At 38.7% G+C, this 16,684-nt stretch overlaps 1 protein-coding gene and 1 pseudogene across 25 annotated transcripts in view; one reads left to right on the top strand and one right to left on the bottom strand.

The window, feature by feature from the left end:
* Window positions 1-16,684, top strand: part of ZNF334 (zinc finger protein 334) — a 51,247-nt gene that overhangs the window by 9,170 nt on the left and 25,393 nt on the right. For 21 of the 25 annotated variants that reach the window (NM_001353816.2, XM_047440281.1, NM_001353817.2 and 18 more), the window contains 2 exons: window positions 84-176; window positions 1,293-4,760. In NM_001353816.2, coding sequence (NP_001340745.1) covers window positions 84-176; window positions 1,293-3,094 — 1,895 coding nt within the window. In that variant the 3' untranslated portion in view covers window positions 3,095-4,760. Of the gene's footprint in view, window positions 1-30; window positions 177-1,292; window positions 4,761-7,437; window positions 7,680-11,472; window positions 11,709-16,684 lie in introns of those variants that run through there. The other 4 variants (NM_001353825.2, NM_001353820.2, XM_047440279.1 and 1 more) reach the window with 2 other exon arrangements.
* Window positions 12,098-13,450, bottom strand: ZNF840P (zinc finger protein 840, pseudogene; annotated as a pseudogene).

Below are 16,684 nucleotides of genomic sequence, written 5' to 3'. Positions count from 1 at the left end.
TTCTGAAGCTGTACTTTCTTCATTCTTCAGAGTCTCTGATGTCCAAAGATCTTGGTCCAAGTTCTGTAATTTCCCATTAACAGGGTATCATGTTAGCAAACCAGATGTGATTTTCAAATTGGAGCAAGGAGAAGAGCCATGGATAGTGGAGGAATTCTCAAATCAGAACTACCCAGGTAAGTAAATGATAACTGAGCAGGTGGAACCAATGGAAATGAGAGTTCCATGGTGGTCGGTGGTAATAGTTGGCATCGTAATGTTTTTCATGAATTTCTTTTTGTTGGCCCAGACCTTTAGAAGTGATTGAGGTTGATTAACTGTCATGCTATGGACATCTGAAACATTCTCCCCAAATAAATAATTGAAATTTATAAAGATGTTTGCCATTAAGTTACCTATCCCCAAAATTCAAGTTCTTCTTTTATCACACCTTAAACTTTATTTCTGTAGCATTCTTTGTTGCCTCCCTTGCCCCACCCACCATTGTCATAGGCTTGGTTTATATTTCAGACATTCAGAGATCTGTCATGATCTTTTTAATTGTCTTCCATTTTTCTCTACGTCACTTAACAGAAATAACACGGTTTCCCTTTCCATTCTACGCTTCACCAGGATCCGGAGTAGGGTGAGGCAAACAAGGTGCCTGGCATGCAAAATTTAGGAAGACACTCAACTCTCAGGATTGCACAGGTGCCCTGGGTATCCTGCTTGCCTTCCTCTAGTCCCAGCTCTACTCAGCCCACAATCTTACTTCCCTTTGCACTGTACAAATTCGAGAGTTCCATGTCACTGCAAAAATTTCAGATTTACCTCTTCCTTCTTGTGTGTTTTGATAATAACTGACCATCTTTCTGATATCTGTTGTACCTGGTCTCACTGTATGACTATCTTTCTCTAAGTGCTTACTTGACTCTTGTCTGTTTTATTCAACACTCCATCAGCCACACTTCCAGCATACTTTGTGTACTATTCCTTGTGACTATTTACTTTTTCCACTCAATGTTTAGTAGTATTTGTAAAGTGTCAAAGGTACTTGTATTCTTTGCTAGTTTCCTCTTCCTTTCCCCCTGTTAAATAGTGGCTGGTATGGATGGATTTGCTTTTTTGTATTTTTTGTTTCTGTATTTCTTCAAATCAACCAAGTAAGAGATATTTGCACTTGAAATTTGTTTAATCTTGGAAGGCTTGGCCTGAAGTCTAACCCCTAAAACAATGCATTTCTAAGGAATTCTCATTTCATAGCAAACATATAAAGGCTCACCAATTACCGTTAATTGTGTTCCTTTTTCTAGACATTGATGATGCCTTAGAGAAGAACAAGGAAATCCAAGATAAACATTTGACACAAACTGTATTCTTCAGCAACAAAACACTGATTACAGAAAGAGAGAATGTATTTGGGAAAACACTTAATCTGGGCATGAATAGTGTTCCCTCAAGAAAAATGCCCTATAAATGTAATCCAGGAGGAAACAGTTTGAAAACTAATTCAGAAGTAATTGTTGCAAAGAAAAGCAAAGAAAACAGAAAGATTCCTGATGGATACAGTGGATTTGGGAAGCATGAGAAAAGTCATTTGGGAATGAAAAAATACAGATACAATCCAATGAGGAAAGCCAGCAATCAAAACGAAAATCTTATTCTGCACCAGAACATTCAGATTTTGAAACAACCGTTTGACTATAATAAATGTGGGAAAACCTTCTTCAAGAGGGCAATTCTCATTACACAAAAGGGGAGACAGACTGAAAGGAAACCAAATGAATGTAATGAATGTAGGAAAACCTTTTCTAAGAGATCTACCCTCATTGTACATCAGAGAATTCATACAGGGGAGAAACCGTATGTTTGTAGTGATTGTAGGAAAACTTTTCGTGTGAAGACAAGCCTCACTCGACACCGAAGAATTCATACTGGAGAGAGACCCTATGAATGCAGTGAATGCAGGAAAACCTTCATTGACAAATCTGCCCTTATTGTACACCAGAAAATTCATGGAGGGGAGAAATCCTATGAGTGTAATGAATGTGGAAAGACCTTTTTTCGGAAGTCAGCCCTGGCTGAACATTTCAGGTCACACACAGGGGAGAAGCCTTACGAATGCAAGGAATGTGGAAATGCCTTCAGCAAGAAATCGTATCTTGTTGTACATCAAAGAACTCACAGAGGAGAGAAGCCAAATGAATGTAAGGAATGTGGGAAAACCTTCTTCTGTCAGTCAGCCCTTACTGCGCATCAGAGAATTCACACAGGGGAAAAACCCTATGAATGTAGTGAATGTGAGAAAACCTTCTTTTGTCAATCTGCCCTCAATGTGCATCGAAGAAGTCATACAGGAGAGAAGCCCTATGAATGCAGTCAATGTGGAAAATTTTTATGTACGAAATCAGCCCTCATTGCACATCAGATAACTCATAGAGGAAAGAAGTCTTATGAATGTAATGAATGTGGGAAATTTTTCTGCCATAAGTCAACACTCACTATACATCAGAGAACACACACAGGAGAGAAACATGGTGTGTTTAATAAATGTGGTAGAATCTCCATTGTGAAGTCAAACTGCAGTCAGTGTAAGAGAATGAACACAAAGGAGAATCTTTATGAGTGTAGTGAACATGGGCATGCCGTCAGCAAAAACTCACACCTCATTGTACATCAGAGAACTATATGGGAGAGACCATATGAATGCAATGAATGTGGGAGAACCTACTGCAGGAAGTCAGCCCTGACTCACCATCAGAGAACACACACAGGACAGAGACCCTATGAGTGTAATGAATGTGGGAAAACCTTCTGTCAGAAGTTCTCCTTTGTTGAACATCAGCGAACTCACACTGGGGAGAAACCATATGAATGTAATGAATGTGGGAAATCCTTCTGCCATAAGTCAGCCTTCAGAGTCCATAGAAGAATTCACACAGGAGAGAAACCATATGAATGTAATCAATGTGGGAAAACCTACCGTCGCCTGTGGACTCTCACTGAACATCAGAAAATACACACAGGAGAGAAACCTTATGAATGTAACAAATGTGAGAAAACATTTCGCCACAAATCAAACTTTCTTTTACATCAGAAATCCCACAAGGAATAAGTTCCAACAAAGTAATAAATTCCAACAAAGCAACAAATCAAATAACTTACACAATGCTAAACTGTGAGTATGTATAGAGGAGTAAAATCTTATAAATGTAATGAATATGGAAAATTTTTCTGCCATAAGTCAACCCTCAATGTAACATCAGAGAAATCATGTAGGAAAGAAATAATTTGTTTAATAAATGTATTATTCATTGTGAACTATGAAAATATTCAACAGCAATTCAAAGGTTATGCCAAATGTGCCTCCCTTTTAAAATAATGAAACAAACATTGTTTAAGTTAAATTGTTACTTGGTTCCTCCCCACAGTGTTACTTGATAGTGTATGTTACGAGGTGTGAGGATCTGACCTTCATTTCAAATCAATACCATTGTTTGATAGTTGAGTAAGTTACAGTTTCTCAATTTATGGTGTATTTTCAGATTTGGCAGATTTTTTGTTGTCTGCTAACTCCATAGTCTTCTAGTAGTGGACTGTATACCTTTATCTGCAAAGGTGACAACTCAGGAGAACTAACCATTGTACTCTATGCACCCATGGTAATTATACCCCAGGTGAGCATTTTGTAAAGCTGAGCCAGTGAAAGCCCTTCCTAAGACCTTTCTAATGGAAGATAGGCACAGGATAACTAGTTCATGATCCTGAAGCTTTCAGCTAAGTCAAGAAGACGGCAATTGCAGTAGGAAAAACATGGGAAAATAAGCATTCTTGAACAACAAAGAGAATTTGGATGATGGTTGAATCCAAAAAGTGTTTATTTCTCTGGTTTTAGTATTCTGTAATATCCACTCAACCCCATCTACCAGTGGTTTATGTCAATTAGTATGTTTTCAAAAATCTCTTGGATTTCCTAATCAACATGTTCATTAGAGGTATTGTTTAGAAGTCACTGATCAAATTCTGAGAACAAAAGGCGCCTGGGATGCTGATTAGGATTACATTATATGGATATATATGATGAGGTAGGATTGCCACTTTTATGGGGTTATTGGGAAATGTTTACCTTTCAAGTTCTGATTTCCATGAGTGGGATTTTCCCTATACCCATTCCTAGCTTCTCTGCCACATTATGCATTCTGCCCCAGGCATGAGGAAGTGGGCTTATCTAGTTGGTAAGATAGTGATGGGTAACTGGGTTTGCTCAGCTGAACTCCCTCTTCATTGTGGGCTGACCTGCAAGTATAATTTCTTGTCACAGATATTGCCTGTGATTGGTAAATTGGTCTAATTCTGTCATTCAGCTAATTGGCCCATTAGCTGAATGGTCACACTAAGTTGCATCCTCCAACTCAATTTGATCAGTAATAAAAGTTTCATCCTGCCCCCTGTCTGCTACTTAATTTTTTATCGTTTAGATGGGGGGAAATTGTGCTATTTATTTGGGGCCCTTCAGAGAACCCAATATGAACATGATTTATCTATTTATTCAGTTTTTATGTCCTTCAGGACAGATAAATGTATGTATACACACATATACATGTGTTAATATATGTAAGTATATACATATGTTTAAATGTATGTGTATGTGTATACTGATCTTGCTCTTTTCCTGTGAAATGTATTAATAGTCACTTCAAAGATTTGGTTGCTATTGTGAAAGAAATTAAGTTACCTTTCACTTTGAAACTAATAGAGTAAAGAAAAACAAAAATACCTAATTTTTGTGCCAAATTTGTCTAAATTTATCTCTTAATGTTGGAACAATTTTTTCAAATCTTACGGAAAATGTAAATTCACAAGTCCAAGAAGTTTAATGAACCCCAAGCAGGATAAAAATGAAGAGCACAATAAGACACCAAATTTCAAGACATAAAGAAATCAAAACTAGTTTAATAAAGATTATCTTAAAAGTAGCCAAAGAACAAAGACATGATATAGAGGGTGTATTCATCTCCTAGGGCTGCCGTAACACAGTACCTCAAACTGGATGTTCTAGAACAACAGATACATCTCATAGTTCTGGAGACCAGAAGTCAGGTTGGGGTGTTGGCAGGGCTATACTCTCTTCTGAAGGATCTGTTCCAGGCCTCTTCCCTAGCTTCTGATAATTCTGTAGCTTGTGGCAGCATAACTTCACATGGCATTCTTTTTTTTTTTTTTTTTTTTTTTTTTTTGAGACGGAGTCTCGCTCTGTCGCCCAGGCTGGAGTGCAGTGGCAGGATCTCGGCTCACTGCAAGCTCCGCCTCCCGGGTTCACACCATTCTCCTGCCTCAGCCTCCCAAGTAGCTGGGACTACAGGCGCCCGCCACTACGCCCGGCTAATTTTTTGTATTTTTAGTAGAGACGGGGTTTCACCGTTTTAGCCGGGATGGTCTCGATCTCCTGACCTCGTGATCCGCCCGCCTCGGCCTCCCAAAGTGCTGGGATTACAGGCGTGAGCCACCGCGCCCGGCCCTTCACATGGCATTCTAAGTGTGCATGTTTGTGTCCAGATTTCCCCTTGTTATAAGGATACCAGTCATTGGATTAAGGGCCTGCCCTCCTCCAGTATGACTGCATCTTAAATAATTACATCTGCAACAATCCTATTTCCAAATAAGGTCACATTCTGAGGTACTTGGGTATAGGAATTCAACACACATTTTGGGGAGACAATTCAACCCCATAACAGGTTAATGTATTATTTATTGTTGTGTAACAAATTATCCCCAAAATTAGCAACTTAAAACAGTAAACATTTACTATCTCATTGTTTTTGTGGTTTAGGAATTGTAGAGTAACTTGGCTAGGTGGTTCAGGCTCAAGGTCTTTGAGGTTGCTGTCAAGATGTTGACCAGGGATGCAGTCATGTAAAGACTTGACGGGGCTGAAAGATCCACTTCTACCATGGCTCTCTCCCACAGCTGTTAGCAGGAGACCTCAGTTCTTCATCACATGGACCTCTCCATAGGGTTTCTTGAGTTCCTCACAACGTGGCAGCCGGCATTGATTCCTCAGAATGAGTGATCCAAAGCCACAGTTTCCCTTATAACCTAGCTTTGGAAAACTATCACTTTCACTGTACTTAATTGGTCACACAGACCAACCTTGATATGTTGCGGAAGGGTATCACACAGGAGCCTGAGTACCAGGAGGTAGAGACCTCTGGAGCCATCTCACAGGCTAGCTACCAGAGGCAACCACCATAAGAATGCAGTGGTTTCAAGAAAGGTGAGAGGAGACGCGCTGAAAACAGTTAATACAAACAACCCTTTCAAGAAGTCGTACTAAAGGCAAGAGAAATGGCATTGTAGCTCGAGAGTAAAGTGTAGTCAAAGGAGGCTTCTTTCTAGAGATAGAGATAAATGCATGTTTATACACTTAAGGGAAATGTTCCATAGACGGGGAAATCTTGGAATAATGTTCTGCATAGGTGAGATAGGTCGGAATCTATGTGTAAGGGGGAAAGGTAGCCTTTTTAAGAAAATAGGCAATGGTCATGCCATGCTGGCTCACACATATGGGTTGATGTGACAGAAGTTTGTGAATTTATTTTAGAATTGTTTCTATTTTTCAATGAAATGGGGAATAAGATTATATGAGAGAATGAGAGAGTTTTATAAATTGGTGTTATTGATATGACACATTTAGTTTCAGTTTTGCCAGATTATTTTATCTTCCCATTTGTCTTTCACTACAGTGTTGTGGAGCATTTGTATTTTTGTTCTGTCAGTTACTAATATACTGATATCTTTATATAATGCCTTAATATCCCTGTTATTTGCAGGGAATAAGGGGGAAGATAGTATATTAGTTTCTTACTGTCAGTCAATAATGAAATTAGTTGGTAATCTCTTCTTCCCTCTTCTCTTCCTGTTCACCTGGAGTCTAATTTAAAAGATAGCTTATTCTTTAAGATGGACATATCAGTCTCTGAATTATTATATGTTAACGGTTTGCCTATGGACTTTATGTATATTTGAAGATCAGTCTGACTGGTTAGAAAATCTCCAGCTAACTTTCTTTGCATATCCTAAAACACATTGTTCCATCGTATCTAGACCAAGTGTTATTCTTCAGAAGCCTGATGCTCCTGGATACTCTGTCCCTCCAGAACCACTGTCTACCCCACTCCTCATGCTTGGGGCAGACCTCTATGAACTGCATCAGCTGAGGTCTCTTGCCATCAGGTGTCTGGTTGAGACCTTATTTGTGGCCCTCTTCCGCAGCTAGAGCTATTCCCAGATCCCAAAAGTCATTTCCTTCCTGCATCACTTAGAGTTCAATCAGAGCAGCAGAGCCATATGTATGTTCTGTAGATGACAAATTTGTTATCAAGATTTGACTCCAGGCTATTACGGGAAGGCTGTTATGTGACTGTCCTCATGGCTGATGCTGGTACTTTAATTCTGCAGGCCAAGCAAGTAGTGAAAGTGAACACTAAGAGAATAAAGACAAGCTGGAACCCACAGACAAAGCTGTGGCAGTTTTTACTGTCTTCTACCTAAACGATGTGGGTGTCCTACAGAGGTTGGTGCCATTTGTGGTGTTGCTAAGCACACACCTAGCCCAGGAGCTGAAAGAGCTGGAGGAGATCCTGGGGAAAGGAGAGCAGCCACAGGCTCATCTACTGAGCCATGCCAACAAGAACCAGCAGGTAAGAAATGTGTCGGGTGCAGAAGCCTTGCTAAGCATAAAAGCAAGATGATTGCTCCTCTGCGAGCACCCTCCAGATCTCACGCCAAAATGTCGTCTGTGACCCACCCTCACTGGAAACATACAGGGAAGGGAGTTCTAGGGAACATAGAATCAGCTAAGCCAAAGTGACAGATTTCAAAGGCACCACCCTCCTGCTTTCCCTTCAGGGCTAAGGATGGTAAATCCCTTGTTGGTTTCCCACAACCCTTCCCACACTTTTGTAAAGAGTCTCTTCATTCAATTTTCTTTCACTCCTTTCAAATGAGCTATTTCTTGATGGGACTGATTCTGTAAGTGGTACCAGAAATGGCCCCAGGAAACAGATCCTCAAAATGAAAATGAGATTCTGGGGAGTGGAAGAGGCCATGCAGCAGCACCTCACCTTTGGAAACAAAGCTGACACTGTTACAGCATGCCTTAGGAAAGACTGGTAATCAGGTTTGGGCCTGGCAGTACAGCTAGTGCGTCATGGAGACCGTATAATGAAAATGGGCTTTCTTCGAAGGAGCAGCTTGACATATAGGTGAACAATTTCTGGGTCTCCTAGGCAGAAGTATGACTTATGGGATTATATTGGGAATTCATAGCACCTTACTCAACTTTGAGACTTAAGCCAATTCCTAGACCTGAAGTGGCTTCAGGAAGACCTTTTAAGAAGGTTCCTGCAATGTAGCCATAGAAGCATCATGCAGATCTTCCTCCAGACCTTCCCAGGGGTATCTGTGGTCATTTACCACCGTGGCCATGCATGAGGGAGAAGGACATACCCAGACCTCCATGGGGATTTGGATATTGGCTTTGATTATATGAATTCTTGCTGTTCCCAAGCACTACAGTGGCCTATGATCAGAGTGGAGACTTATGAAGGTCGGGAGATAGATGAGTCTGGGCCTGAATCCAACTCCCAGAGGGTTTGCTTCTGCCAGTGGAAACACACGTGCATCCCATGGTTATTTCCTCAGTCCCAGAATGCACAGTGGAGACAGACTTAGTGGCAGAATCCTCATATTGGTTCCCTGACAATGGAGAAAATACTCTTATACCCCATGATAATTTAAAAGTTATCCAGGCCAGATATGTTTTAGGTCAAAAGGTGGGGGATAAGAGATAGGTCTCTGCATCAAATCACTGGCTAGTATTGTTTATATGAGGTACATGGATCATATTCTGTGCTGACTCCAATTTTGCATTCTATGGAAGTTATCTTCAGAGATAATTTAATCTTTAAAAGGGTTAAAGCATTTATTCAACAGCCAGTTGTCTTGTGTCCCCTCTTATGAAGTCAGTGATTGAACTTAGGACCCACCCTAATCTAGTATGATTTGATCTTGATTACATCTTCAAAATGATCCTAGTTTTAAATAGGGTCACATTAATGAGCACCGGCAGTTAAAACCTCAACATACCTTTAGGGAGGGATTCCATTCAATCCACAAACGCTCTGTTAGATTTATATCTCCTCAAATATGTGAGAATGAAAATATAAGGAATTATTAAATGCAAAAGATGCATCATTTACATTGGTGTGCAGATGATATTTTGAGCCTAAATTGAAGTATTTAACTTCTCTCTCCATCTGTTATTTTTGCTTAAACAATAGAACTGTTATGTGATTTTAATATTAAAACCCCAATGAAAATATAAAACTTTCTGCTGAAACTTTCCAATGAGAATGTTATGAATAGCCTAACATTTACATGATGGCTATTCTTTTATCTTTTTTACAAAACTGGAGACATTGGGTTTAGGAATTAGTGACAGCGCCTAGGAAATATGGCAGAGATACAAAGAAGAAAGTGTTAGATGTCAATGAAAAATTTTTGAGTTTAGTGATGGTGAATTTGGGATATGAGGCTTTTCAGAACAAGTTGTTCTGGTGTGTCCTAGGAAACTTTTCTCACTCTAGACTTTAGAGTTAGCAGTTTGACCTGATAGGAGCTGTGTTGGAAAGTCTTCGTGTATTTGAAACATATGAAATGGCTCCTGTTTAACTTTAACCCAGGATATTAAGGACCAAAATTAGGGATGACAGGTCCCATGTATAATTTTTGTCTTTATCCCAATAGCCACTCCCATTTTTATAATATTCATAACAATATTTTCTTTGTACTGAGCTAAATTATTTCAGTTGCATTTTTGGCTTATATTTAACTTGAGATCTATAAAACTGATGTGTCTGTTATTTGTAAAAAGTGAGCTATATATACACATACACCTTTCCTTAGAGATATAAACGTACTGATGCCTCAACACACAAGTAATGAGGCAGATGGAAAGGAAGCACACCTGGGGATTATACAACACTTGAGCTCTGTGGCAGCTCCTGTCATATCTGAGAAAGCAAAGAAAGGTGAGAGCATGAAGAAACTGAATAGTGTCTATGGATTGAGGCCAATCCTAACTATGCCCATCCCACTTGGCTAAACACAGGCAAGTTGCCACCGACGTTTATGAGAACAAATTTGGGAAAGTAATTCGACTTCTATACAAGGCTCAAATGTATTCAGTATTACATGCTAGTGTTAGCATATACTAGAAAGCTTAGCATTTAAGACATACAACAAGAAATCAATTTCAAATAACATAATATTCCCAGTAATAGGTTCTCCATATTCTGAATCTAAAGCCTAGAATTGTTGCAATTTTTCCATTTCTTCTTGATTCTCTAGAAACATATAAGAATGGTGCAAACTATTCAGGGAGGCTGGGTGTCTTAGTTATATCCACTTATTTTTTGGCTTTGAGACAGTCTCGCTCTGTCACCCAGGCTGGAGTGCAGTGGCATGATCTCTGCTCACTGCAACCTCTGCCTCCTGGGTTCAAGTGATTCTCATGCCTCAGCCTCCCTAGTAGCTGGGATTAAAGGCGCACGCCACCATACCATGCTAATTTTTGTGTTTTTACTACAAAGGCACCACGCTCCTGCTTTCCCTTCAGGGCTAGGGATGGTAAATCCCTTGTTGGTTTCCCACAACCCTTTCCACACTTTTGTAAAGAGTCTCTTCATTCAATTTTCTTTCACTTATTTCAAATGAGCTATTTCTTAATGGGACAGACAGGGTTTCACCATGTTGGCCAGGCTGGTCTCAAACTCTTGACCTCAAGTGATCCACCCACCTCAGTCTCCCAAAGTGCTGGGATTACAGGCGTGAGCCACTGCGCCCGACCATTTAGACAAGACAGCAGAAACCATCTTGACCACAGACCCAAGACCTTTGGATTTCTCATGTTACCCCTCCTAACTCTTTACCCTTTAGTTCAGATCCATGATCAGCTTTTTGCTTTTCACTGTCTACTAGCAAAAGTTCTCCAAAACTTCTAATTCACCCAGAAGAGATGGCTTTTGTTTTCCTTACTTACGCTTAAATTAGGGTTGCATCATCTAGCCTATAAAAGTTTGCATCTTTAGATAGCTGCCTCTATTTGTTAATCCAGTGAAAGTAGATTATGGACAAACAGCAAAATGAATGTTCACTGTAGCCTTCTAGCTGCCTCTTAGCTTATCACTGCTTACCACAGGAAATGCCTTATCCAATTTCAAATTTAGTTGAATACATTTAACAGTTTTTTTTTTTTTTTCTAAAGACAGAGTCTCACCCTGTCACCCAGGCTGGAGTGCAATGGCACGATCTCAGCTCACTGCAACTTCCGCCTCTGGGGTTCAAGTGATTCTCCTGTCTCAGCCTCCCAAGTAGCTGGGATTACAGGTGTGCACCACCACGCCCTGCTAATTTTTTTTTTTCTATGTTTAGGAGAGATGGGGTTTCACTATGTTGACCAGGCTGGTCTGGAACTCTTGACCTCATGAACCACCTGCCTTGGCCAAAGATTCAAGTCAGTGCAATAAAAAAAGTACATTTCTGATCACATCTCCATTTCTTCAACATTTACATATTTATATTTCCAAGATACTCCATACAGCATGAATCCACGAAGAATTAGGCTTCGACTAAGATTCTTTCTACATTGATCTCGAGTTTAGCAAAGGGTAAGTCATCTCTAAATATCCTTCTTCACCTTCCTCTTTTTTTAGGGTTTCTTTTTATTGTGAGTTATCTGATGTCGAGAAAGCTTTGAGTTTAAGCTAAAAGCTTTTCCACATTGATTACATACAAAGTGTTTCTCTCCTGTATGGATTTTCTTGTGTTTACTAAGATTTGAATTATTGTTAAAACATTTTCCACATTCACCACATTCATAGGGTTTCTCTCCAGTATGAATTTTTTTATGTTGATTAAGTTTCCAGTTAAGGCGAAAGGTCTTTCCACATTCATTACATGTAAAGGGCCTCCCTATAGAATGGGTTTTCTGATGTTTAGTAAAGTTTGACTGATATTTAAAGGCTTTTTCACAAGTTGTACATTGGTAAGGTCTCTCTCCTGTATGAGTTCCTTTATGTTGTGTTAGATCTGACAGACGGACAAAGGTTTTTTTACAACTACTGCAAATAAAAGGTTTCCTTCCAGTATGGATTTGTTGGTGGCGAGCAAGATCCATGCGCTGGGCAAAGGCTTTCTTACATTCATTACATGGAAAGGGCTTCTCTCCAGCATGAGTTTTCTGATGTTTGTTAAGATTTGAGACGCTTTTAGAGGAGTTTTCCTTTTTATTGTGAGTTCTCTGATGTCGAGAAAGCTTTGAGTTTAAGCTAAAAGCTTTTCCACATTGATTACATACAAAGTGTTTCTCTCCTGTATGGATTTTCTTGTGTTTATTAAGATTTGAATTATTGTTAAAACGCTTTCCACATTCACCACATTCATAGGGTTTCTCTCCAGTATGAATTTTTTTATGTTGGTTAAGTTCCCAGTTAAGGCGATAGGTCTTTCCACATTCATTACATGCAAAGGGCCTCCCTATAGAATGAGTTTTCTGATGTTTAGTAAAGTTTGACCGATATTTAAAGGCTTTTTCACAAGTCGTACATTGGTAAGGTCTCTCTCCCGTATGAGTTCCTTTATGTTGTGTTAGATCTGACAGACGGACAAAGGTCTTTTTACAACTACTGCAAATAAAAGACTTCTTTCCGGTATGGATTTGTTGGTGGCGAGCAAGATCCGTGCGCTGGGCAAAGGTTTTTTTACATTCATTACATGAAAAGGGCTTCTCTCCAGTATGAGTTTTCTGATGTTTATTAAGATTTGAGATGCTTTTAAAGGATTTCTCACAAACATCACACTTGTGGGGTTTCTCTCCTGTATGAGTTCTTTGATGTAGAATAAATTTGGAGTACGGATTGAATTCCTTTTTGCAATAATTACATGTATAATATTTCTTTCTAGTATGAATTAATAGATGTTGAGTTTTTTCTGAGAAACGGTGAAAGGTTTTTCCACAAAAGTTACAGGAAAAGGGCTTCCTTTGAGTATGAGTTTTTTGATGCCGAGTCAGGTTTACTCTGTTGCCAACATGAAATCTCTGATGTATAGAGAGGGATGAGAGAAACCTAAAGGCCTTTTGACATACATCACATTTGTATGGCTTCAGTCCACTGTGCATGCTCTGATGTTGAATAACCTTTGAAGGTCTGTTAAAAGTTTCACCACATTGGTTACATTCAAAGTGTTTATATAGTGTACATATTCTCTGGAGCATTGTAAATGATGAGCGATGCCTAAAGCCCCTTGTATTTTCACCATATTCGTGGGTTTCCCCTACCTTATGGATTTTCTGATGTCCAGTAAGTTGTGACACATGCCCAAAAGCCATGCCACAGTCATCACATTCATAATGCTGGACAAAAGTACGATGTGTTCGGTATTCTCCATGGTGAAAGCTTTGTCTGAAGGCATTCCCAGATTCATTGAGGGCACGAAACGTTGCCAATGCTGGTTGACATGCTAGTAGGAAAACAATATGAGAAAAAAAATCAGAACTGGACACTGCAACATACATCAAGTTAATTAGGAAAGCGAGGGAAAGAAGAGTGCAGTGACTGGAGACTTTAGAGGGGTAGGATGAGAAGTAGGAGTTTGTGGAGGTGGAGAGGCAGAGAATTGTTTCTCCACGTACAAGAATGATTTAAGTGATCAACAGTGGCCATTGAATTTTTTTCTATTTCTTTAAACTTGAAATAATTATACTTGTGATTGTAAAAATGGCTGAATGAAATTTTAATAACCAAAACAGAAAAGCTTAAAGAACCTAAAAAGAATCACGTGAAATCCTAAGCATGGATTAAAGTTTTGTTTCCATTAAGGCCCTTTAAAATATTTCTGTGTGGTATAGCAATTTGTGAAAGTGATTACACTTTAAATATTTTCCTTTGAACATCAGAATTGGGGATACTTATGAGTAAATACACATCTGTCTTATCAATTTGATATTGAATGTTTTACTGTGCGACAGGGTCATTATTGATTGGGCCGATGCTCTATTTGGATATTTGAGTTGTACTTATTTTTGTTGTTGCTAAGAACATTAAGAACAATCTTAAATCTACATCTTTGTTAATTTGAAATATATTCTAGTATCGATTCTTAGAAATGAGAGTTCCCAATTATATTTTTGGTATATACATGCACTGCACTGAAGTTCTTATATTGCATGAACACACCATTATTTTCCAGTATCTTGATAACCCTAGACTATCAAACTTACCTTTATATAAAACTGTGGTGTCATGAGTTCTAGCACTTTTTTTGTAATAAAAACATCTAGAAACTGGTTAACTGCAGAAAGAAATTTGAGCATTCCTACACACATACGAATTATAGATTGAGCATTTCTATATACATACAAAATATAGTAGATATGTTAATACAGACAAAAAAATCTGCCACTGATAAGATGGAGAACCAGCACAGGTTTCTGTTATCTTCTTCATTCTAGTCTGAGATGCTACTGAAGTGCTTAGAAAAATGTATAGATATAGTGGAATATTTATAAATATACATGAGTAATATTTTCAAAAACATAAATATTTCAACATGGGACAGAATCAGTGGTAATAAAAGGGACAAAGTGGGAACAGTTGGTTTGAAGATATGGTTTTTAATTTTTTTTTTTTTTTTTTTTTTTGAGAGAGTCTGTCACCCAGGCTGGAGTGCAATGGCATGATCTTGGCTCATTTCAAGCCCCGCTTCCCAGGCTCAAGTGATTCTCCTGCCTCAGCCTCTCGAGTAGCTGGCCATGCCATCACATCCAGCTAATTTTTGTATTTTTAGTAGAGACGGGTTTCACTATGTTGGCCAGGCTGGTCTCAAACTTCTGACCTCAAGTGGCCTGACCGCCTCAGCCTCCCAAAGTGGTGGGGTTACAGGTATGAGTCACCACACCCACCCTGAAGATATGTTTAAATGAACTTAATGGTTGGCATTTATAGCAAAATTACATAGCCAAAGATGAAATAGCAGGTTGGAGAATTCTTTTAGAGGGAAGGAACTGGAGAAATAGAATATATAAAAGAGAAGTCAGGATTAAAAGAAAGTACTACCATCCATTAAATGTGAGTCCTATTAAAAATGTGTAGAAGATTTACCAACTTCATCATGTTGGTACTGGGCATCTGGGCAACTAGAGTCTCTGAAATAGAGGGGGAAGGGGGTCGGGGGCAGGGACGAGAAAAATATTTGAAGAAATAATGGGCAAAAAATTCTCAAACACAGTAAAAGCTATAAACTCACAGATCCAAGAAGCGCAAATCACACAATAAGAAACATGAAGAGAATTACACTCAGACACATTATAAAGAAATTGTTCAAAGCCAGTGATAAAGAGAAAACTGTAAAAGCAACCAGAGGGGGGAAAAAGACGTTATGTACATGGCACAGAGACAAAGATGACATCAGATTTCTCACTGGAAACACTGCAAGCATAAAAGATAATGGAACAAAATATTTAAGGTACTAAAAAAAAAAAAAAAACTATTAACTAGAATTCTATGCCCAGCATATGGCTTTCAAAAATGAAGACAAACAAAAGACCTTTCCAGAAATACAGAGAATGAAAGAATTCATTACTAGCAGAGTTGCGCTACAAGTAATTTTAAAGGAAGTCCTGCAGGGCAGAAGAAAAGGGATGCCAGATGGGAATTTGGCCCTACACCAAGGAATGAAAAGCAACTGAAATGTAACTGGTAAATATGTATGGGTTTATTACTATTACTTAAATCTCTTTAAAAGATTGACTGATTAAACACAAATAATGTATTGTGGGGCTTATAACGTGAAAGTAAAATGTATGACAGCAACGCCATAAAGGCAGGTGGAGATAAATTATGGTATTTATATATATATATATATATATATAAAATAAGAGCTACAGTATAATTCTTACACTCTACATGAAGGAGTATACTATCGCTTGCAGGTAGATTGTGATAAGTTAAAGACAGATACCATAAACTCAAATCCCAACACAACCACTAAAATAGAGTTACAGCTAATAAGCCAATAAAGGTGATAAAATAGAATCCTAAAAAAAAAAAATCAATCCAAAATAGGGTAAGGATAATAAAGCAGAATAAAGGAGAAAAGGGGGAAGAACAGATATGACAAATAGAAATCTATTTGATTTAGGCTCAAGCCTAACCATATCAATAATCACAGTAAATGTAAAAATAAAAACACAAGATTTCACAACCTGAGCACTATTTACCTTTGTATCAGAGAATTCTTTGTTATGGGGGCTGTCGCATGCATGTAGGATCTTGGCATCCCTGGCTGTTACACCCTAGATGCCAGCAGCATGCCTACATACCCAGTTACTACCACCAAAAAGATCACCCAGACATTGCCAGGTGCCCTTAGAGGGCAAGATCTTCCCTTCTCCCCATTGAGACCCAGTGGTATAAGCACCTCAACGAAAAGGTGGAGATTATCAAGCTTATATGAGAAAGTAAAACCAAATTATTTGCTAACTACAAGAAACTCACTTTAGAGACACAATTGGTTAGAAAGTAGACGTTAGGAAAATACATACCATGCTAACAGTTAAAAGAAAGCTAGAATAGCTATGTTAATA

This window comes from Homo sapiens, chromosome 20 (genome assembly GCF_000001405.40).
Source record: "Homo sapiens chromosome 20, GRCh38.p14 Primary Assembly".
Classification (NCBI taxonomy): domain Eukaryota; kingdom Metazoa; phylum Chordata; class Mammalia; order Primates; family Hominidae; genus Homo; species Homo sapiens.
This window is presented reverse-complemented; position numbering and strand designations above follow the sequence as displayed.